At 36.4% G+C, this 25,698-nt stretch overlaps 1 protein-coding gene across 14 annotated transcripts in view, besides 1 other annotated feature; it reads right to left on the reverse strand.

Moving 5' to 3' along the window:
• The window catches only part of LINGO2 (leucine rich repeat and Ig domain containing 2), a 1,275,985-nt gene that overhangs the window by 374,487 nt on the left and 875,800 nt on the right, over positions 1-25,698 (reverse strand). The gene's annotated exons all lie outside the window — the stretch shown is intronic.
• Positions 5,600-6,101: an enhancer, noted in NCBI's record as "NANOG hESC enhancer chr9:28317701-28318202 (GRCh37/hg19 assembly coordinates)". NCBI's record gives its function as "activates a minimal SCP1, AML or CMV promoter by ChIP-STARR-seq in naive H9 embryonic stem cells {active_cell/tissue: H9 hESC(naive)}" and the evidence as "EXISTENCE:reporter gene assay evidence [ECO:0000049][PMID:30033119]".

The following is a 25,698-nucleotide window of genomic DNA, read 5'->3' on the forward strand; positions in this document are numbered from 1 at the left end:
TAGTCAAGTATCTATGTTCTTTAGCTAGATGTTTTAGATGTTTTCTTTTTTCTTTTTTTTGTATCCAGATACCAATAATTGTCTGGTCAATCTTTTTACTTTGAAATTGTCCTTACCGAGAAAGAATATTTCAAATGGCCAGCTCAGCCCTCTCTTTTTGCAAACTTTGAAATAAAACTTTGACATAAGCTCAAATTTTTTTAAATTTTTATTTGAAAATTGTGAATCATTTAAATAAAAATGAGAGGGAGAGAAGAGGGGGTAATAGAGAGAGGGTGGTCAAGGAAAATAAGAAAATGATTAGTGGAAATCAAATTATTAAAATTTTCAGGAAAAAATCACGAAAATTTAACAAAATAAAGTGATTATGATTACATTTTAAAAATAATGATAAAATTGCAAAGAAGCTAAATAAGAGGATTTCAGTCATAAATATCAACATGCAGAGAGTACTGTGTAGTATCATAATGCTTTATTCTAATTAAGGCACTAGTAGTATTTACAAAATCATTAGATTGGGTTCAAATAAGTCTTTATCCCTTCTAATAAAAATGTATTTCTACCCTTATACAAGACAGAGTGCAATTATTATAATTCTGAGAAAATTTTAATAGTTTTATTAGCATATGCCAACATGAAATAAAATCAGTAGTGGCTTATTGTCATTGCTGTTTCCATTTAAAATAATCATTTATATCACTCTCAACCCAAAGGAGATTTCACAGCAGAAATCACCTTGTGCCTTTATTCTTAATCAGGGCTCTGTTGTGTCAGGAAAAAAGGAAAACTTGACCTTCTTGTTTTTAATGACCCAAGGGTAGTTATTTATTACATTAAATGTCATGAAAACCCACAAAATACAAAGGATTTCAGGCTGACACAGTATATCATCCCCACTTTCATACAAAGATTAATAGTCCAGGTACCAAGCAAAATACCAACAGAGAATAATCCTGACACCTGTTTCAACATCTGATGATGACACTTTGCTGAATAAAAGTTTAATCACTCATTTCCTATATCGTACAGACAGTTTTGTAACGAGACTACATAATTACAATTGAGAGAAGTTATATCATTGGCTAATACATAATTATATCTGGAAGCATAACCACTATATTGGGAAATTGAATCATTTCAAAAGAATGCTTTTCACACTCACAGTATTCAGGGAACTATTTAACGAGAGGGGTCTCTGGGCTCCTGCTCACACATTCAAATTCTTAGGTGCAATTTGGGAAAGATCCAGAAGGCCCAGAGAAAGGGTTTTGGTACTTGGTGTTAGAATAATTCAGACAAAAGGACAGTATATAATATTTTATAAAGAATCTTTTGCTAAGTTTCAACTCTACAGGATTCATTAAATTTGGAAAATAGTTGACTGTGCCCCTTTTTTAATCTAGAGCAATTCAAATTCTTGAAGTTCCATGTGTAAAGATCAGAAGAAATTGAAATCTTTCAATCATTGTCATCCCTGTCTGTAAGACAGCCCATTCTTAGATTGTTAGGCAGAGAGGCTGGATTCTCTCAGAATCACCCTCAAACTTATTCTGTATCAAATTCTATTTTGAAGAAAGTTGCTTCTCGAGTTCAAGCTTTTAAATGAAATTAGCATGAAGTAATAAATTCTTTCCCTAATGCAAACTGGAAATGGGAGTATGTAAGGAGTGCCAATGAATATTAACTAGAAGTCCTATCCACATTATTAGTTAGTTTGATGGTACTTTGTATGTGTCTCTGAAGGGTTCTTATTTGAAGAGGGCCTTTAAATGTTCATAGACTTAGTTGCTCAACACGTTGAGAATTTCAAACACTGTGACCAGTGAGAATTGATTTTTTTTTTTGTTTTAGATGGAGTCTCGCTCTTTCACCCAGGCTGGAGTGCAGTGGCGCGATCTTGGCTCACTGCAGGCTCCACCCCGCGGGGTTCCCGCCATTCTCCTGCCTCAGCCTCCCGCGTAGCTGGGACTACAGGCGCCCACCACCTCGCCCGGCTAATTTTTTGTATTTTTACTAGAGACGGGGTTTCACCATGTTAGCCAGGATGGTCTCGATCTCCTGACCTCGTGATCTGTCCGCCTCGGCCTCCCAAAGTTCTGGGATTACAGGCGTGAGCCACCGCGCCCGGCCGAGAATTGATTTTTGATCTTTTTAAGTCCTATAACATGATTGTGGCATGAAATACTACACTTAAATGCAGCTGGATCCTTAGTTAGGGTAAACAAAAAGTTGATCAATAAATCCACAAATCTTTCAATTTGAAACCCAAGACAAAGTTTTAGAAATCAGAGTCAGTAAATTTTAGAGGAGAAAAGGAGCTTAACCCTGTACTCTAACACCTTCCTTCCACCTGTCTCCTGTTCCTTCTTCAAGAAATAATTGAGTGTCTCTGTGTTCAAGGCACCGAGTTTATTTTACAGATAAAGAAACTGACGGCTAAAATATAAAACAGTTTCCCCAAAGCACTTTGCCAGAGCTAGGCTTTTGTTGATGACCATCACAAAACAAGCTGACAGCTCTTTGCTCCATCATGTTATTTCACATTAAAAATCTGAATTTACATACATCAGTGGAAACAATGGCAAAGATAAATATATGAGGCCGGGCGCGGTGGCTCACGCCTGTAATCCCAGCACTTTGGGAGGCAGAGGCAGGCAGATCACTAGGTCAGAAGATAGAGACCATCCTGGCTAACACGATGAAACCCCGTCTCTACTAAAAATACCAAAAAATTAGCCGGGCGTGGTGGCGGGCACCTGTAGTCCCAGCTACTCGGGAGGCTGAGGCAGGAGAATGGCGTGAACCCGGGAGGCGGAGCTTGCAGTGAGCCGAGATGGCGGAGTTCGCAGTGAGCCGAGATCGCGCCACTCCAGTCCAGCCTGGGTGACAGAGCAAGACTACGTCTCAAAAAAAAAAAAAAAAGAAACAAAATGAAAATATGAAACATTTCAGGAGTATAGAATGCTTTATTGTATTCTAATAATTCCCAAACGATCATTGGTAACACAATCAGAGATGGATAAAAAAAGAGACACACTCGCCTGTAATCCCAGCACTCTGGGAAGCTGAGGCGGGAGGATTACAAGGTCAGGAATTCAAGACGAGCCTGCCCAAAATGGTGAAACCCCGTCTCTACTAAAAATACCAAAAATTTAGCCCGACGAGGTGGCAGGCGCCTGTAATCCTAGCTACTCGGGAGGCTGAGGCAGAGAATTTCTTAACCCGGAGGCACAGGTTGCAATGAGCCAAGATTGTGCCACTGCACTCCAGTCTGGGCGACAGAGGGAGACTCCGTCTCGGGGAAAAAAAAAAAAAAATGACACACTCTTGGTCTGATGTGGAGTGACTTTCCATAGGACAAATATTTATATCCTAAACTTGTTCCATGTGCCTCATCTTTATTTATGGAAGCATTCTAGCTGACCAGCTGTTTTTACTGATGGAATGCAAATTATTTTTGTCACTTGAAATATTATATTCATATTATCTAGGTTTTAATAAAAAGAAGGGCTGGTTAAGTGAAAGAGATCTTAAAAGCATTGGTAGATGATTTACTAGTTTAGATCATTTCATCAGTGGGATCCAAGTGGAATGTGGCACTCCCAGCATACATGAGAACATCCACTGTAGTTCAGCAAGAAAATACCAGAACTTCATTTATATACTCAAATTTTATCGTTTTCTAATTTCTATTTCATATATGTTTATTGGAGTAAAAACTATGAATATGACATTCAAAGTACATAATTCTTAGTATAGGGTATAATAATAGCGTAAGATTTGTGAATATGCAAATTAGTTTTTGGGTTAAATGCGTAGGCTCCAGGACCAGATCTTCTGAGTTTCAAATTTAAAAGTGGCTCTGCCAATTATCACTTACCTATGTGATTGTTGGCCAAGTCTCTAAACCTTTCTTTCCCTCAAGTTTCTCATTTACAAATACAGATAATAATAAAAAATATTTCTCACTTTATAGAATTGTCAGAAACTTTAAATGAGCAAATACATATGAAGCATTTAGTATAGCACTTGTCATATATTAATAATAAGCAGCCAATAAATGTTAGTTATAAAAACAATTATTAAATATATATTATTACATGTATATACACATATTTTGAAAACAGTACCAAAACTTTTTTTTAAAATTTAATGACTGTACAATGAAATATATAGTGAGGAGATATGTATTTCATTATCTACTCTTATCAAAATAAAAAAACGGATGAAGACAAACAGATAAGGCAATATGTTTTATGTAAAAATTGAAGATTACCATATGCCAGCTCTGTGTTGGGATTTGAGGGAACTCAAAATTATTAAGACACTGACCTTGGCTTTTAAAGGATTTAAGATATTGCAGGAAGTAGGGAATAGAGGCAAAGAAGTGGAATCTGGAAAAGTACATAGCTAATTTGAAAAACTTTGAAAACTTCTATAATACAGGTACAATTACAAAGAAGTTACAAAAAAGATCATGTAAAATTGAGTTGTTTTAGGATGTGTCAAGCAAGTCCCCAGAGAGGAACCGGCATTTGAACTTGGACTAAAGGACAAATCACATTTATGAAACCAATATACACAGAGTGTCTTAAGCAGAAGAGATGAAGGAGACATTAACAAATACACACAAACTAAGTATATAAGATTATAGAAGAGGGTTTAATTTATGCCAAGAAGTTCCAAGAAGGCCTTTCAGAAAGACGTTTAATCTGACACCAGGATGATTAGTAAAAATTAGGATGAGGGATTTTTAAGCACCCTTATCTGCTAGCCATCTGAGAATACAGAAAGCTCAATCTCCATTTTGTTTCCATTAACTGCCAAAAGTCCCTTGCATCAGTTGAGTACATGCTACATGCACTATGCTAACTTGGCTATTTCACCTACATGACAATGTATATCCGTCATTATCCTTATGTTGAAGAGGTTAACTCTCTTTTTCTTAGAAAAACTAAGTTCTTAGAAATATATTCTTTTGTACTGTATTAATGTATTCCAATTATGTTTCTTCTGTTTCACAGAACAATGTGAAACTTTGAGGTCTGAAGATTCGGCTCAACTATTCTTGAAGCACGAATTATAAAGATGCATTCAGCATGTGATGCATTTTGTCAGTATGAGTTCCATATATATTTGTGAGAAAAGAGAGATATAATTTTCATGAGAGAGCTGAAATTCTAGATTGACCTTTCCTTGTTTATCTCAGTTGGAGAGCTAGAAGAAAAGTTTCTGATGAAGATTTCTCCCTAATTTGTGTCAAACAAATGTCTTAAAAAGACAAATAAAAATCTTATAAATGTGACTGAAAAATGTTTCTACCTTAGATTAAACATGTTGCTTTGTAACTTTATTAGTAAAACCTTTCAGAACTTTCAGATCATTATTGGAAGCAAAATATGTAAAATAGCTAAAAGTAGAGCTGTTCAAGGTGAAATAAGTTTGGTAGAGGCCATGAGGGTTCTATGGATTATAATTGAAACTTGAATATTGTGAGGATGAAATTTTAATGGATTCATTATTCTGAAAAAACAGAGTGTTAAAAAAAGATACTTTCAAAAGACGTTCATTCTATTTGCTTTCTCCCTTTTCTACTGTTCACATAAAAGTGGGTTGATAGTAAAAATGAAATATTATATTAATTCATACAGGGTACGAGAACAGCCAGCTGTGTTAGCAGTTACTAACTTTCAAAGGCTCCCTGTCTGCTAATTTAAGTCACAGTTCTGTCTGCCACACAGGGTATGGGCCAACTTTTAGAGTCCCCATAATGCAGTCCAGTCAAACCCAGTCCCTGCCTTTGTTGGGACTAAGCATAACACAACAAAAAGAGATAAAGAGGGAGTTTGAATGGCCATTCTCTCAGACATCTGTGCATGAGTCACATCAAAAGACTATCAGCAAGGAATACACATATGCTGCAGCCATACAAGAAGCAACTGAGTTGAAACAGGTACCTGGCCCTTCATCCCACCAGGATTCCCATGTTCTTTCAAGGTTCACTGAGTTAATATCAGGCTACAATTGGACTAATTTGCTTCACAATCGGAACAAGAATGACTCAAAGCACTTCTGTCCTTATAAACACCTAAGAAATGCAAAGGAAAGAATTTCTTTAATTTCACTGTTTCTATAGAACTGAAATACATTGAGTGACAACTCCTCATTGTAAATTAGCACTTGAAAAAGTTAAATACAGATCATGAACATCAAATTATACACATATTTCTATTTATATCATTGATTTATTCATAAGCATATATTATATTGTATAATCTCCAAATTTCTGTTTGGGAGAAGAAAATTAATATTTAAAGTGTGAACTATGTGTTCATCTTAGTAGAACCTCATGATAACTTTGGGAGTTGGAGATTATTTTTATCAAGTTCAAAAAGGTTAAATAGCATGCACAAAGTCACTTGCAATGGTCAGTGATAGAATGTGACACTTGTTTGGCTGAAGCTAAATTTCATGCTTTTTCACAACTATAAAAAAAACAGTCTACTTAGAAAATGAGCTCCAAAGGACAGAGAGATCAATTGTTGTATTGTCTATTGACAAGAATTCCGCCTGGCATTACTGGTCATGTGGGTATTTAATTAGTAAGTATGTCCCACAAAAGAGATCCCTATATTTGAAAATATAAAGACCTAAGATTACTATTGGAAATGCTTATTACTAAAAATTGTGATAACAATAAAACCATCATTTCTTGGGTGCTTTCTCTAGGCTAGGCACTGTACTAAGCAAACACTTGACAAAACACTACTTAATCCTCATAACAATAATCTTTATTGTTTCCCACTTTTTACAAGTTAAAAACTGAAGCTTAGAGATGTTCAGCTGCTTGCTACATACACTTGGTTAGTAAGTGGCAGAAGGAGCCTTAGAATGTAGGGCTGACTCAAAAGCCTCTTCCATTAGTTAATAGTTTAAAACTCTTTATAGTCAGTGACAATTTATGTATTGCATTTATTAGAAATAATTACAAAGTATGAACTGCCCAGCAGACAGAAGAGAAATAAACATTTAAAGAGTCAGGATCTACACATGAAATCAAATTTAACACAATGTATAATGGGAAAATTGGGGCTTCCATATAGATTTCAAAAGTAATAGGGATGGCCACCCACCTTCCGTGACTTGTGGCCCCTCTCCTCCTCCATTCTCAAAGCCAGCAATAATGGGTGGAACCCTGTCAGTCTTCTAATCTCTGCTCCTTCTTTCATCTATCTTTTTCTTTACTACTCTCTTATATGGATTTATATGATTAGATTAAGACCACTCAGATAATTCAGGATAATCTCTCTGTTTTAAGATTCCAAATCTTAATTGTATCTACAAAATTGCTTTTATCATGTAAAATAAGAGATTTATAAGTTTCAGGGATTAGGGTGTGAACATCTTGGGGGGCTGTTATTATTCTTCCTACCACAACCCCTCAGCAACATACTTAAACTAGTAACACATACAGCGTGAATGAATCTTAAATTTATGACACTAAATAAAAGTGTTACATACTGTATGATTCCTGTTATATGACATTTGGAAAAGACAAAACTATAGAGGCAGAAAATAGATTGGTTGTTTCCAGGAAATGAGAATGAGAGGAGGCGACTGATTACACAGGAGCTTGAGGCAATTTTTTGGGTGATAGAAATGTTTTACATCTTTCTTCTGATGGGATTATACTGCTGTGTGCATTTGTCCAAACTCATAGAACTGAATCCTAAAAAGAGTAAATTTTTATATGTAAATTACATGCAAGAAAACTGATTGAAAACAAACAGAAAAGAAAAAGGTATTAATGCTTCACTGAGTCACCATGAATCTTAAAGTACTAGAATTTTAGGGCTTAAAGTACTAGAATTAGTAGGGTGAGAATATGTCCCTAATTTTCTGAGACTTTACTGATTTCAAACATTTTGTCTCATTGCTCCTATGGAATTCCAGCTATACGAATATTTTAGTGTGCAAAATATACTTTGTGCACCCAAGAAAAATTCCATCACACGTCAGTTGTTCCAGTTTTGCATTGGAAACATACAATCCCCTCATTCTCAAGGGTCACATAGCTTAGTTCCATCATTTCCAAGAAGAAGCAGCAGCCAGTGAGATTAAGTAATTTGCTTGAGGTCATATATCTTATTAGTATGAGAGCCAGGAGTAGAATTCATGTCTCTAAGCTCCAGTCCACTACTCTTATCACTGAACTGAAGGGTTCTTAGAAATCTAAGGGAAACTATAATTGTTTCTGTCAATCCCAATATTTAAGCATTAGTGAGACACCTGTGCAACTGCACAAATTGTGAATGATGCTGCAGTTAGCCGACATAATTGGTGACAATTTCAGTAGTTATATTTACTTTTCCAGATGTGTGTGCTGCTCTTAGGCTCTGGAGAAATAGTTATATGGCATTAGACTTACTTATGAATTGGTCAAACAAACAGGTATCTTTAGACGTTCACTTAGGCAATATGTTCTAGGGATGGGGTCAGGAATATAACTTTAGGCACAGGACGCAGAAGTGGAGAAGACAGAGGCAGTACTATATAGTACAGTTTAATGACGGGAGCCAGATCGCTCTCTATGAATGGCAGCTTCATTACCTTCAAAAGATTTCTTCTCAAAGATCCAATTCAATAGAGGACTCTCAATCCAGACTGAGACTAGGGATTTGTTTACTTGCCAACTCCCTCAGACATCTGTTCCCCTTCTGTTTCCTTCTTGACGTTAAGAAGCCCTGTTTTATCATGGCAGGACACTGAAACTCGGGGAGCACTTTTAGCTAGCTTCAAATGGCAGATTCTTATAGCACAGAAGTATAGTATGGTCTGATTGACAGCATCAGTAATTTAATGCACTTTGTCTTGCAGCTGCCAATCCATGGCATAAAATGACAGCTCATTTAATCACATTTCTTAGGATGAATAAGTTACTTTAATTTTTGTTAATTTTTTTTAAATATTGGCAAACTCATGCAATCACATTCATTCTCACCCTTATCCCATTGAAATTAAAACACTCACTTCATTTAAAGAAATGCTTATCAAAGAGTTGAATACAAACTATTCCATATGTTTCTCCATAACTATCTTGAGAAAATACCCAAACAAATTACCTACTGAAATTCAAGAATCAAGAAGCCAGAGACCTGCTTCAGAAGTAAAACATTTGACAAACATGTTGTCACAATAAGCCTCTATGGGATCATTCAGCCCACAAGATATAACATGTTAGAGGCAGAGAAAACTGCATATAGCCAGGCAGAAACTACATAAAAGACATGCAAAAGCCAGTGTGCTGAAAATTCAAAAGTTAGGAAACCTGAGTTCTAGTTCACCTCAATCACTAGTCATAACAGTAATGGAGGGCCTACTATGTGCCAGTGAATTGATGTGCTGTATTAGTTAAGGTTCTCTGGTTGCAAGCAATTGAAACTGTTACTGGCTAAAGAGAATGTACTGGAAATATATTAAAAGTTTATGAATTCAAAATGAAGAGTGGAGAAGCAGATTTCAAAGCAGAGAAGTGCTATAATAGGGCCAAGAAACAGAGACTATAGGACCTGTCCCATTCAACATGAACAGGCTTCAAACATTCTCAATTTCATTGTTGATCTGCCTTATATTCAAATTCAGATTGGAAATATATGCTGAACATATTTTAGGTCATGTCCTGGGTTGGGACAAGGTCAGGGCCCACCCAATTACACCCACCAATGAAGAGATAGTTTCCCAAAATAAATTCCATTGGATGTTAGGACAGGCGATGGAAAGCTAGATTCCAGTCACTGGAATGGAAAAAAAGAAAAAAAACAAACTCAACAATTTAATTTTGATGCATATTTTTATACATCCATCAATGAGATCCATTTTGTAAATACAATAAAATCACATCATTCCAAAAGCTTTCCATGCTACTTGGAATAATCCAAACTACTTACCTCAGCTTACTAAGCTTCATCTCCAATTTTGTCTTGTAGTATTCTCCTTACACACTAACCTTGAGACACATGGGTTTTTTTCATCTTTAGACACATCAAGTTCATACTGGCCTTGGGCCTGTGCTCCAACTGTCCCTTTTGCCTGGAATGTCCTTACATTTCATGGATGAATCCTTCTGATCATTTGGATGACAGCACAAATGTTTCCTCATCAGAGAGGTTTTCACTGATCACCCAAGCTAAAATTAATCAATGACTTCCTATCATATCACACCATTTTCATTCCACTTAAAAAATATTACCTGTCACAACTAAAATATAAGATTCACTGAGAATAGTAAGCCTCTTTTGCATATTTGATAGTTCCTAGACATAGTAGGCACTCAGTACACACACACACACACACACACACACACACACACACACACACGTTTACAATAAATACTTTTTTAAATAACCAAACATAATAGATTTTATTTTATTCACTTTATAGAAGAGGACACTGAATTTAATAAAAATTAAGGAACTTGCACATCAAACATTTATGTATGGCATAATTCAAAGTCAGATCTGTTTGGATCCAAGGCCAGGCTCTTAAACACTGTCATGTACTGATTGTCTATCACTACCTGTATGATTTGGGGTAAGTCACTGGACGTAAAGATGCTTTTCTAATTTTTTTTAGCAGCAGAATATATTTTCTCTCTAAATAAAATCATATAGACAACCTCAATAAATTGCTAATTTGATATATTCAAAGACACAATGTTTATTTATTGTGAAATCATTCAGTGAAAGTAATAAGATTGCCTGACCAATACATTTTAAAATTTCTAGCTGAATATGTTAAGAAAATCCCTATTTATATGTACACAGTGAGACACAGTGAGCTTTTAAAAACTGACCTCCTTGAAATCTCAACATACTCATTGATTGCAGGTATGGCAGGAAAATCTTTATTCTAATTGTGCCCAGAAGGGAGTTAACCTGGAATCACATGTTTAGATATTGATGGTCTCCAGTGTGTTAAAATCTGGTGTATAAAAATAGTCCCAGAGTGGGTGGTTTATTATTATGCCACCTAAAATACAGTTTAATATGTTATATATGCACAGAAAAACTTGTAGAATTTCAAAAGGATCTTCAAAAAATTCACAGTTTAAAATCTGTGGGCCTAATGGATTACCTATAGCTCTCACATTCTGTAGGCAAATTCTGTGCCTTTTGATATAACTATATTTGCTCTGATAAAGTAATATAAGAAACAACCTGGGTGCGGTGGCTCACGCCTGTAATCCCAACACTTTGAGAGGCCAAGGTGAGTGGATCACTTGAGGTCAGGAGTTCTAGACCAGCCTGGCCAACATGGTGAAATGCCACCTCTACTAAAAATACAAAAATTAGCCAGGTGTGGTGGTGCGCACCTGTAATCCCAGCTAATTGGGAGGCTGAGGCAGGAGAATCACTTGAACCTGGGAGGCAGAGGTTGCACTGAGCTGAGATCACGTCATTGCACTCCAGCCTAGGCAATGGAGGGAGACTCTGTCTCAATCAATCAATAAAATAAGAAGCAAGCCAAACAGATCCAAAATAGTCTCAAAATAAGCTGTAAATAACTCCAGAGCGTAGCATCAAAGCAAACATAAGTTCGGAGAACAATGGCAGGATAATGGGCACCTGACAGTAACCAATCACAATTAATTACCATCACCTGCTTTAAAAGGTAGACGGCTAACATCACCATATATCAGAATAAGAGGCTGAGGAGGAATCATCAGACATATAATTTGTAAAGAAGCTGATAGAAATAATGCATGGTATTATAACAGAAATTAAAAGCTACCCCTAAAATACTAATAGTTGATAAGAAAAGACAGGTAGGTTAACGAAGCAATCCAGGAAACCTAACAGTACAAATGCTCTAAGGCTCTTCCTTTGTTTTGCAGATTCTAGAGAAAGTCACAGCTTTCTACAGCTCTTATATAAACAAAAGCCTTGGTGTGTTATACTGAGGAAATTATTTGTCTAAAGCAAAATGTTGTATCCGTAAGGCTAATACTTAGAGTCAGAAGGGGATTAACCATGAAGCAAGCAAGTTTAGGATTGAAAGTCTCTGGCTTGCACGGGCCCCTGTCAAGGCTTCATTCCTATTTTTCCATTAGCAGTTATTCGTTTGTTGGTGTTTTTAAAAAAATAATAGCCGTATCCCTTCCCCAAATTTTATAAGCTTCAAGCCCCACAAACCTGCATCTACCTCTGGTTTCGGTAATCGGTTTTTACTTGTGAAGGAACCAGGTATAGTTGTCAGAGGTGTTTGAACAAGAGCAACTCCATCTTGAATAAGGGCTGGTTAAAATGGGGCTGAAACCTACTGGGCTGCATTCCCAGGAGGTTAGACATTCTAAATCATAGGATGAATAGGAAGTTGGCACAATGTACAGGTCATAAAGACCTTGCTGATAAAATAGCCTGTGGTAAAGAATCTGCCAAAACCCACCAAAACTAAGATGGCAATGAAAGTAACCTCTGGTCATCCTCACTGCTCATTATATGCTAATTATAATGTATTAGCATGCTGAAAGATACTTCCACCAGTGCCATAACAGCTTACAAACACCATGGCAACATCAGGAAGTTACCCTATATGGTCTAAAAAGGGGAGGAACCCTCAGGTCCAGGAATTGGCCACCCCTTCCCCAGAAAACTCATGAATAAACTAACCCTTGTTTAACATATAATCAAGAAGTAAAAATACATATAAGCAGCTGAGCAGCCCATGCCACTGCTCTGCCTATAGAGTAGCCATTCTTTTATTTCTTTACTTCTCCGATAATATTGATTTGCCTCAAATTCTTTCTTGCACGAGATCCAAGGACCCTCTCTTGAAGACCCCTTTCCAGTAACATAGTCAGTACCAGGTGTGACTATGGAGCAGCAAACTAAATTTTATGTCTCTCTTAACTTCTCTCTTCCACGTATCTCTCTTTCAGGCTCACATACACTCCCTCTCTCTCTCCTTCTCTCCCTCTCCTCCCTCTCCCCCTACCTATCCCCCATCTCTGTCACTGACTAAGATGGCCTGTTTCTCTCAGCTTGACTAAACTTTAGACAGGTTTGTTCCTGATTATAGGCCCCTGAATTCTCTTTCCTTAGGGCATTTATATTAGAAAACTTGCAATTATAAATAATTTATCCTCCCCTTTAAGACATAAATTTTGTTTCAGCCTCTTGCCAGTTACACAACTTAGAAAAGTCTTTTTTAAGGACCTAGGAGTCATACCTTTGAAATATAATCATCAAGAAAGATAGAACCCCTATCTCCTAGTCTCTGTAGAACAGCTGGAGCCAAACTTCACTAAGTACCAATAAGAAAACACACACGGTCTGATATGGTTTGGCTGTGTACCCACCCAAATCTCATCTTGAATTGTAGCTCCCATAATTCCCACTGTGTTGTGGGAGGGACCCGGTGGGAGATAACTGAATTATGGGGGTGGTTTTCCCCATACTGTTCTTGTGGAAGTGAATAAGTCTCACAGGACCTGATGGTTTTATAAGGGATTTCCCTTTTCACTTGGTTCTCATTCTGTCTCGTCTGTCACCATGTAAGATGTGCCTTTTGCCTTCTGCCATGATTGTGACGCCTCCCCAGCCACATGGAACTGTGAGTCCATTAAACCTCTTTTTCTTTATAAATTACCCAGTCTCGGGTATGCCTTTATAGGCAGTGTGAAAATGAACTAATACATGGTCTAATCACATTGATTAAACTCTGGCCTAGTACCCTCCAGTACTATCCTATTAGCTCACACCAGGGCTTAAAAACTCTCCCACATTTTATTTAAACAGAGTTGAGCTCAATCTCTCTCCCCTACTGCAACAGTCTTAAATAAAGTCATCCTTGCCTGTTTAAGTCTGTCCATTGCAATTCTTCTTTGACAATTCATACATACAAACTTTTGTTTTGTTTTGTTTAGACAAAGTCTCGCTCTGTCGCTTAGGCTGGAGTGCAGTGGCGTGATCTTGGCTCACTGCAACCTCCGCCTCCTGGGTTCAAGCGAGCCTCCTGCCTCAGCCTCCCGAGTAGCTGGAATCACAGTCACCTGCTACCATATGTGACTAATTTTTGTATTTTTAGCAGAGATGGGATTTCACCATGTTGGTCATGCTGGTCTGTAACTCCTGACCTCGTGATCTGCCCACCTTGGCCTCCCAAAGTGCTGGGATTACAGGTGTGAACCACCACACCCGGCCACAAACTGTTTTTATAATGCTGTAGATAAAGTGTTTAGTTCTAGTGCGTGCCAATGTCGGTTTTTTCCTCAGATTCTTTAACCTTGCTCCTCTACCCTAACCCAATTTTTCACTTCCTTTGTTTGTTCACTTAAATCTTACTTTCTCTGGCATTCCTAGCTATAAAAACTTGATATTCTATATCACTGCTTCCTGTTTGTTTCTTATACAGTGTTCACCACAAATAGTAATTACTGTATTTGTTGTTCACCTGTCTATTACCTGGTTCTTCCATGAGATGGTATGTTCCATGAGATTAAGAACTATATTGGCATCGTTCACTGTTTTGCTTTTCTTTAATCCTCAGAACATAGCACAGTGCTCTAAGACATGGTATATACTTAATGAATGTTTTTCAAATAAACGACTGAATAAAATACATCAATAGTATTTTTCTAATCCCAAATCATAGGCTCCATAATTCACAAATGTTAGGAAGGTTCAATATTCCTTGGGGATCATGGTCACAAGAGAACAGGCACAATAGGTGATTGTGGCATGCTGGTTACATGGTCACCCCTGGACACATAAATACCATTACTGAGAAAAGCACTAGGGGAATGGCTAAGGGCCTCATTCACCTCTTCACATCCAACAGGCTTGCTAAGGTCTGAATGCAATTTGTGTCTCTCCAAAATTCATTTGTTGAAAAATTGATCTTCAATGTGGTGGCATTAAGAGGTGGCCATTTGGGAAGTGATTAGGTCATGAGGGCTCCACCCTCATGAATGGGATTAGTACCATTACAAAAAGGCTTGTTCACCTCTTCTGCTATGTGAAGATGCAGTAAGAAGGTGCCATCCATGAGAAACAGGCCCTCCCTAGACACTCATTCTGCTGCTGCCTTAATTTTGGACTTCCCAGCTTCAAGAACTGTGAGCAATAAATTACTATTGTTTATAGATTACCCAGTCTAAGGTATTTTGTTATAGCAGCCCATGTGGACTAAGAAAGTCTGCTACCATCATTCCCACCTCCAGCTGAATGAGTATTAAGTCGGCAGGAAGAAGTCCCGAAAAAATGTTTAAAATAGGAATAAGCTCAAGAACCACTGGCAATGCATTTCTTCCAGCTCTGAGGAAGAATGAATGGCTTTTTCAAGCTCATTTTGTGAGTTGAGGTGGAAAATCTCTCTCATTTTTATCTACTTCTAAGCTTAGTCCAACAGCAGTTCTCCCTTAGGGGGAGTGTGGAGGATTATTTGGCCCAGTGTTTAATTACCATAGGCCATATTCCCTTTACAGTCAAACTGGCAAATTTTATCTCAGAATTTTGTTTGTTTTTCAAAAACAGCAGAAATAAGCACACTTGTTTTTGTCATCTTTGTGCTAACATCTAATTGATATTATACATATATGGGCTTTGTATGGCAATAAAACAGTTGGTTAATTTTAGTTTCATCTGATAAAATATACTGGCAGCTGTTCTTACAAATCTGTGATGATAATGTGAAAATCACTCATCAATAAAAAAAGTCATGTGATATATTCAATATTCTATCATTAAACGTCTAGTGTAATGTGATCAACAGAAACAAAGAAAGGAAGGAAGGCAAGGAGAAAGGAAGAAAGGAAGGAAGGAAGGAAAGAAAAAAAATAAGAGTGGAAGAGTTATGTGAAAGTACAACATACACTCTCAGCAGCCAGGGGCCCAGACCCTCCTTTCAGACTTTTGGACCCTGTGAATGTGTGCATCAGAAAGCTCTTAGCAGGAGCGAGAACAAATACGCAGCAAGAAGAATTGCAGTGGAGAATATTAAAGAACATGGAAAATCATATATTGTATCCAGAGGAAATCACTAGGAAAAGACCCTATGGCTCATAGCACGTGTAGTAGAAATGAGACAACCATTCTCAGGTAAGCAAAATGAGGAAAGTTAGAAGGCAGCTGTTACTTGCCTTTTGATAAGTAGAGATGGGATATTAACAATAAGGTATCCAAAAAGTAAAAGGCTGTCTGTAATGTTATTTATATCTAACATTATGGAAAGTCCAATGTGTTGTGATAATTAGAATGAGAGTTGGTTGTGAAGCAAAAAGAACAAAACTAAATGAATAGCAGAAGAAATATGTCAGACATTTTCACAACCAAACATATGCCTTCAGCATCCTTGTAGAATATGTTGTTCTTATCTCTAAGGGGCTGGTTATTATTGTGGGAACTAGGAAGAGAAGAGGAATTTTTAGAAAGATTTTTTAAAAAGTCCATCTTTGAAAAAAAAAAAGCAGAATGACGGAAATAATTTAGAATGCTAACCTTAATTTAATCTTGGGAATGGCATAAAACAAATCATTAAGAACCTTAAGGCACTAAGCAAAACATTAGGAAAGCCATAATGTGCCAAATTTCCTTAATTTTCTTCATTAAGGGAGTAATGCAATGTACATAAAAATATGTATATAATCCAATGGAACTCAAATAAGTTATAGGATTCTTCCAGTTAACTATTTTAGTAAGCCAAGAATATCATCTCAATATCATACATTGATCAGGTTACAAGATGTCAGTAGGTCACAGTCAAAATTCTGAAGATTTATTGTTGAAAGACAAAAATAGTGAGAGACAGTGAGTCCTTCTGGGATTAATACTGGTGCCATTTGACAAAAAAATAATATCTAAGAAAACAGTGAAAATTAATGGAATACATTGAATGGCCTTCACAGAGACTTCTCAGGTTCTCACCCCATCCGTATACGAGCTAGGCCTTATCCCTTACAAGAGCAGTCCCAGTATTTCTTGGTGTGTTGCTCATGTTCATAAATATTTTTGCATATTCCTTTGCTCCAGTCACTTACTAAGACAGACAGAAGGCTCCCAAATCTGAAACCAAGCCTCCAGTTTCCAAAGGAGCCGAGATTTCCTAATAGTCTAATTGTGCTCAGCTCATTTTGCCTCTGTCCAAAAGTGGGAAGAATGGTTCTCTCCATTTCTAGTCATAATTCTGTCCCATGGCACAAAGCAGAGCTTCTTATTTCCCTGTATCTGACAAATACTCCCTTCAAAGCAGTACCTTCTGCCTGTTACTAAACCCCTTCTCTCCATATGGCTTAACTTGAGGGCTTGGGCTAATAAGGTAGGGGCACACACCACGCTGTCTCTTCGGCCAAGTCATTATTTCTTGTCATGTATATACAAGTTTTGCTCCTGTTCAATCTAAAATGCTCATGATAATTGACTCCTGGTACAACATGCATGTTCAGACTTGTTTGAGCCAGGGCTTCGGTTCAAGCCAGGATATCCAAGCATACACAAAAATTCTTTATATAATTGCACTTGCTATTCTCTCTGCCTGGAATAGTTTCCTTCCCACTCTCCCCTTCTTTCACTCATTTACCACTGCAACTGCTACCTCCCCCATATTCTTTATCTGGCTAATTTTAACTTGCCCTTCAAGACTTCAAACAGGCATGACCTTTTCCATGCAGACCATCCTGACCCCACCCTGAATTAGATAGCCATCCTCTGGGGTTTTATATCACCTTGTGCATATCTCTATGAAAGCACCTCACCTGTGTATAGCTCTATGAAACTTTATTTGTCTATTTGTGTATTTAGCTCTTCCAATAGACACTTTCTTTTAATTTTTATGTATTTATTTCAACACTTTATTTTTTGAGCTTGCTATTTACTGAATTCTGCGCCCCTAGTGTTCATCTATTGAAGCCATAACCCCCAATGCGATAGTGTTTGGAGATGAGGTCTTTAAGTGGTAATCAGGTCATGAGAATGGCACCCTCATGATGGAATTAGTAACTTTATAAGAACGAACAGGAGAGAATGCTCTCTCTCTCTTCTCATCCACACAGAGATAAGGCAATGTGAATACACAGTGAGATGGTACTGCCTACAAGTCAAGATAAGAGACCTCAGAATGAAATCTATCTTGCTGACACTTTAATCTTGAATTCCTCAGCCTCTAAAATTGTGAGAAATAAATTTCTGTTGTTTAAGCCACTCAGTCTATGGATTTTGTTATGACAGCCCAAGCTAAGACAAAGAGCAGTTTTAGGTTTACAGGAAAATTAAGCGTAAAGTACAGAGAGCTCCCATATGTCACCCATCCTCTCTCCACAAGTTTTCCTCATTATTAACATCACACATTAGTGTGGTACATTTGTTATCATTGATGAGCCAATATTGATACATTATATTAGATGGTCATATTTTTAATCTCCATATCCCTAGACCCTAAGGGCTGTGCTTGGTACATGGTAGATGTTTACTAAATACTGAATTTAGTAAAAGAATTATACGAATAAATAAATAAATAATGGCTCTGAAACACTTGATTCACCCAAAATGTGATCTGTTATTGTGAATTACTGATCACCTTGACTGTGACACCTGGACATGGTGGGCAGGTCTAAAGCTGAGCCCCAACTTCATGCCATCTTTTAACATCCTGTTTCTTTTATGCTTAATGCTTTGTGGTATACTCTTCTCCCGTTCTCACCTTCCAGGACATGTGGTGTTCAAAAGAGTGACCACAAATTTTGGATTAGAAAAATAATTTAGGTAGGTTTTAATATGAAATTTCGTAATTCATTCTGCCTCATTCAAAAAATAAGACAGATTTTCAAGAGACATGAAGATCTGGTAGGATACTGTTGCTATTTCTAACTTTATTTCTTAATGGTTATAAACTTAAATAGGCTAAATTTTCTTTATTAAACCTGTGTGAAGTTGACATTGTTTTAAAAACAATGTTTCAAAATATTTATTATTTATTAAGTAATCTAATAATTTCATAATAATTTTAAAAAGTATTCAACTGAAACAAAAGAGTTTATTCCTTTCCAGGTCTCTTTATTGGTGAGGGGTAAAGAAAACCCATACTTTCTCAATAAATCTTAAACATTATTAATTAAAAATAACTTTTAGTTCAGTCTCATAATTTGTGGCCAAGAATATAGAAGCAAACAACTTCTATATTTTATATGCAAGAAGAAAAGAACAAAAACCAAATAAACAAGCAAAAAACTTAAATCTCCATAACCTTAATTAATCAAGTAGAGTTGAAAATGCTATCTATGCTAAATATGAATCTGTTCTAATCACTTCTAGAAACTGGGCCCTAAGATATGCAAAGTAAATCTCTCAAAACAGGAGTACATTTTCTGATGCATATAAATTCTTCCCACATAACTAATATTGTTACAGTTTTTCTTTTTTGTTTTTTGGAGAAGAAGTCTCACTCTGTCACCCAGGCTACAGTGCAATGGCCTGATCATGGGTCAGGGTAGCCTCAACATCCTGGGCTCTGGTGATCCTCCAGCCTTAGTCTCCCAAGTAGTTGGGACTACAGGCACACGCCACCATGCCTGGCAAATTTTTGTAATTTTTTTAGAGACAGAGTTTCACCATGTTGCCCAGCCTGGCCTCGGACTCTCCGGCTCAAGCAATCCTCCTGTCTTGGCCTCCCCAAAATGATAGGATTACAGGATGAGCCACCATTCCCATCCTGATATACTTTAAAAATCACATAAAGGAAAAAGAAACTTTTTTGGAATTGCTGATCACCTTGCACATGTCACTAACCTGGATGTGGTGGGCGCATCTAAATCTGAGCTCCAACTTCATGACATCTCTTATTAAAGAGTCTTTTTGCCTTACCTGATTTTTCAAAGGATTATCTAAAACATTTGTAGATAATAAAGTTCTTATATTGATCTTTCATTAAAATAATCAACCTAAATGCCAAATAAACTTACGTTAACCTGATACCTAATTAATTAAAGCACACAGTTATGTGCCATTTAAGTAAACTCTGAAGAAAATTCTCTGATTTTTTTAATAGACTTTATTTTTCAGAGCAATTTAGGCACCTTTCAATCTCTTTTTAGAATTTTTTTTTTCTAGTCCTTGCTTAAGACTTAAAAAATCCTGAAAAGTAGATAGTAGGCCTGGGGCTGTAGTTTCTATTAGGTTGATGTCAAAGTAATTGTGGTCTTGCCGTCACTTTCAAAACCGCAATTACTTTTGCATCAACCTAATAATCCAAGGCGCTACACTGAGCTTCCTCTTTGACCCTTACCTGGCCTGAGACTCACATGGAAGGTTTCTCTGGAAGTGAAAACAGTAATGTACCAATTCTCTAATAAACGAAAAAGACATGGTCTTAATAGAGGCACACATATTTTGTGGTGAAAATTTCTTACAAGGACACTTCTCAAATCATCCTAGGGTGGTACTATCTATTCTTGAAGTTGGCCTTGTTGAAATGGGATAAAAATTAAGTACAGAAAAAAAAAAAGGCAGGGGGAATGGGGAAAAGGTTTTGTAAGAGCCAAACTCAAGACAGAGATGGGCTCTTATAAGAATCTGACTGGTTCCTCTCATGAAAAGAGAATCAAATGAAAGGAAATGAATAGAGTTTGATTGAAACAAGAACCTTATTTAGTCATAAGAATTCAACGCATGCCTGGAGGAATTCATAAATCCCTAAGTAGGAAAACCTGTAAAACTCTGGCCCAGGAAAAGTCCATAGGAAGTGAATGGTTAAAGCACATATCAGCGTGGGGATGGGGGCTGACTCAATGGTCTCTGCCTTGTTTTCTAGGTCTGTGATCTGATGATTAAATGTAATCAGAAAGAAGGGGATCGGGTAAACATCCTCACTCCTCAAAGTTTAAAGCTAGATGTTTTAACAAGAAAATGAAAGTGTTATGATTCAGAGATATTTATCTTTAATTTCTGCAGTTTTACGGATCAAAATCCAGCTGGTCTTTCCAAAAATCAGTCAGTAAAAAGAAGAGACACATCCACAGGAAACATCACACTAGAAGCTTTCTAACAAGTTGTGAGTCACACAAAAAGAAGAACAATTAAGTTAGGCAAACATCGTGCCCATGTCTTTGTGTTTTAACAATTGAAGGCAGATACTTACATTTGGGAACACAGTTGATTAAACAGGAAGAACACTTGATTCAATAAAAAATATCTACAGTTGCTGTAAAGCTTCTTTAAAAGAAAGAGACCTTTCAGTGTAAGGGTAATGTAGGTCAACTAGTAATTGTCTAAGGACACATCAGACATTTTTAAAGGACAGATTTGTATAAGGTTAATCTAGGTGGGAGGCTAAGGTACATTCAAATGTAAATACAAAGATATTTAGGACAACTGCATGGCAAAGTCAAGCCACAATGGTAACTTGATGGAGCTGATAAGGGAAGATACATTTTTCTTCTTCTTCTAATCCAGTGATAACTACTTAGTTTTCAAAATACCTCAAATGAAAAATGTACATTGTTATTCAGGAAATTAAACCAAATTGAAAACCAGTCAATCCTCAAGTGTGCATATTAAAGCTGTGACGTACTCTTAAGATATTTTTAATGAACTTTCAAAATATAATCACGTCAGGGCCGTGCCATATCCTCTGATTTATGCATACACAGTTCTTTAAAAGTCATACAACTACTATGTAAGATATTCGAACGGGGTATCATCATTGCTCCAAATGACTTAAAAACTGTACATGAGCAGACATTCTCTCAGTGCATTAAATCTAACATTATATTCATTTGAAAAGCGCAAAGGAAATGAAAATATTGCTTACAAATGACCTTATTATACTTTTGTCAGTCTGCTGTTTCATAAAAGAAAGGGAACCATGATACTGGGGCACAGTAACATTAGCAAAATTATCAAGAATTTATCTAACGCTGATTTATATTTCAGATTTGAAAATTAGATTACAGGCTTCCCCTTGTGCTGCAGTTTGCTTCTTTGTAAAAGCAGGAGCTGTTTCTGCTCTGAAGCCTTCTCTGAACATAGAGTAGCTTCCCTGGTGGGTGAATGTTGTGGACACATACATGTTACCTACTGTAAGAAATTTAATGAAATATAAGAAAGAAGATGGCCTGAGAGCTTTCAATCTTATAAGCAAATAAGATACATGAGGAAAAAAGGTACTATGAGTGACGAAACTCTATTTGTAAATCCTGTATTTATATTTCTTCTGATGGCAAACTAGGGAACTAAATAATGGTACAATTATTTAAAGACACTATTCAGCCAATTATTATGTCTATTTTTCAATTGAAGCCTAGTTAATGAATTCCACTAGAAAAATATCCACAACGTATAGTTCAATAAAATAGTATGGGTTTAGGTATCTAAAATCATATACTTTAACTCTGTGACTGCTTTTTCCTCTACTAAGTGGGGTTTTTATGAGGAAAAATGAGTTAATAGTAATAAGGCACTCAGAACAATGCCTGGTATGTAGTACATTTTAAATAAGTGTTTTCCGTAGAGAATGGGACTCTAGTAGGTTTGGGTGGCGTAGTGGTTATGTAAGAACTCTCTGTGGAGTCCTATGCTTACTGGAACCATGAAACAGTGGCAACATTAAAGGGAATGAATTGATGTGCTTCAAGGAGCTGTCCTGTCCTACTCATGCCCAAGGCAGGTATTGGAGCACCACAGTCATGAACCTGAAATGATCCTGGGGTTTATGACAGTGGGCATTGTGATTGTATTCAGACAGCTATGAAGAGAGGATTCCCGGAGGCCTTGGCCCCATTTAAAACACCAGAATTCAGGCACAAAGACAAAGCAGGGATAATGAGACTTGTTAGGGGAAACCCAGGAATGACTGAGTCAGAATTCCCTGCTAGGCCAGTGAGATAGAGGCCAGGGTTAGAAATTAAGTTACTTTAGAGATAATAGAAATGTGATGTTTCTTGCCTATCCATATTGGTGGAATGAGGTTCATATTCACTACAATTATAATTATTTTTAAATTCCTTCTCTTCCTCTAGTTAGCTGTTAATTCTGATCTACACTCTCCATCTCTTCTGAGGCAGAGGATCAATGCTGAGGCTTAGGAGGGAGAGCTGGTGTCACATTCTCAATACATGTCAAATGACAGGTGGAAACAACAGAAAGTCTAGCATTTAAGGTATTGTTACATTCCATGCATATTTGTGCCAAGGAGTGCTTCATATACATTGTCATCTAAGAGAAGAATGAATATAGAGAGGTCTTCACAGAACCCTCCAGGGATCTCGCATTGTAGCCCTAGGGCAGTCACTTCAGGCAAGACATTTCTTTGTAATCATCTGTTACATGTGAAAAACATACCCAAATTTCATATTCTACTGCACAAAATATCCATGCTTTCCATATACATACCATGCTAAGTGTTCAAATAAAACAGATATTCCAGGAAGATGGGCTTATCCAGAGGATTTGTGCACATTGCTCTGGGGTTTCCTTAACAAGAATCTTACCCCAGTTTGAGAAGCATATTCTTTTGTTTTCCTTAAAAATATCTGAGGACTTTTTTAAGATTATAGAAACAACATATGCCAACAGTCAGTAAGCTGAAAAATGTTAAAAAGTAGTAAAACAAAACAATAAAGTCAACCATGATCCAAGGATAAATAACCACTGACATTTTTGAAAGCATTCAAATTTTAAAAATATGAATTATTGGCTGAGTAATATTGGCATGGATGTACAACAGTTTATTTAACTATTCATCCAGTGAAGGACATTTGGGTTGTTTCCAGTTTTTGGATATTACAAGTAAAACTGCAATTTACATTCATTTCCAGGTTTTCGTGCTAACATAAGTTTACTTTTCTGTTAGATCAATGCTCAGTAGTATAATTTTAGATGTAATATTGTAGGTTTAATTTCTTTTTTAAAAAAACAACCTGACAGATTTCCAGAGTGGTTATACAATTTTACATTCCCATCAGCATTATATGAGAGATCTAGTATCTCAACATCTTTGCCAACATTTGGTATTATCTTTAATTTTATCTGTTCTAGTAGATATGTAGTAGTGTCACATCATAGTTTTAATTTGCATTGCTCTAAATGGCTGAACATAATTTCCTGTGCTTACTTCTCATTTGTATATATTCTTTAGAAAGATGTTTAAGACTTTTGCTTATTTTCCAATTGGATTATATGTTTTGTTAATGTTGAGTTTAGAGAGTTCTTTATATATTATTAATACAAGTCATTTGATAGAGGATTTGGAAGTATTTCCCCTCAAGTTGGTAATTTGTCTTTTCATCCTCTTAACAGTATCATTCACAGAACAAAAGTTATTAATTTTGAGAAAATCCAATTTATCCATTTTTTCTTTTTGGATTTCTTTTTGGTAAATGTAAGAAACCTTTACCTGACACTAGGTCATAAAGACTTTCTATACATCCTTTCCAGAAAATTTTATGGTTTTATATTTTACACTTAGATCTACAATCCACTTTGAGTTAATTTTAAAATAACATCAGTTTTAGGTCAAACTTCATTCTTTGGTCTACTGCTGTTCAATGGTTCTAGTACTGTTTGTTAAAGAGATTCTTCTTCCATTGAACTACTTTTGCACCTTTGCAGAAAAATCAGTTGGGTAAATGTATGTGCATCTGGGTTTAGAAGCATGGTTGTGATAAGCTGTTCGTTTAATCATTACCAGTGCAAATTGTGGCAAAAAAAAACCACCTCATTTTCCATAGCAATAGCAGATTTAAAATATTTTGCTTATTACTAGAATACTTTTTTTAAATAAAAATTTGAATATTTAAAAAATCACAAAGACAATTTTGAGCTGACCACACATATCACAGAATTATTTCTCTCAGTAATTCTTTACATAGACAACTGTTTTGAAGTACTAAAATTTGAATCAACTTATTAAAAATTTTACACATAGCTTTTCAATATTTTAATAATTTTAATTATAAATGAACATATATACTTTCATATTATAAAAATAAAATATAAAAGCATAAATATTATATATATAGAATATGTATATAGAGAAATTCCTGAAAGCACAGTGTTATATTTTATAGAATAATAGTAGAATTATGAGAAAAACACTTTCTCTCTTTGTGCTTTTCTGTATTTTAGACATTTTCTACAATGCTTATGTATTATTTAAAGGTAATTGCTAGGTTGTGGTAGGAAAAACGACCCTCCAAATTAAAATAAAAAATTGATATTAAAAATAAAATACAATTAAACAAATCATTTTGTAATCAAATGTAAACAAATCATTCAACAGGAAGCAGGGCATGAAAGTTTGGAAAATCTGCAGCCCGAAGATGTGATAGAAAATAAAATTCCATTTTCTGAAGATAAATTCAAGCCAGCTGCAGAAATTTGTATAAGTAACACGGAGCCAAATTTTATCACCAATACAAGGGGAAAATGTCTCCAGGGCATGTCAGAGACCTGCACAGCAGCCTCTCCCATAACAGGCCTGAAGGCCTATGAAGAATAAATGGTTTCCTATGCCTGGTCTAGATACCCATTGCTCTGTGCAGCCTTGGGACATGGTTCCCTGAGTCCCAGCTACTTCATCTCCAGCCATTGCTAAAGGGGGCCAAGTTACGGGTTAGGTCATTGCTTCAGAGAGTGCCAGCCCCAAACTTTGGAGGCTTACATGTGGTATTGAGCCTATGGGTGCACAGAGGTCAAGAATTGAGGTTTGGGA

The sequence above is a fragment of the Homo sapiens genome, chromosome 9 (assembly GCF_000001405.40).
Source record: "Homo sapiens chromosome 9, GRCh38.p14 Primary Assembly".
In the NCBI taxonomy this organism is placed as follows: domain Eukaryota; kingdom Metazoa; phylum Chordata; class Mammalia; order Primates; family Hominidae; genus Homo; species Homo sapiens.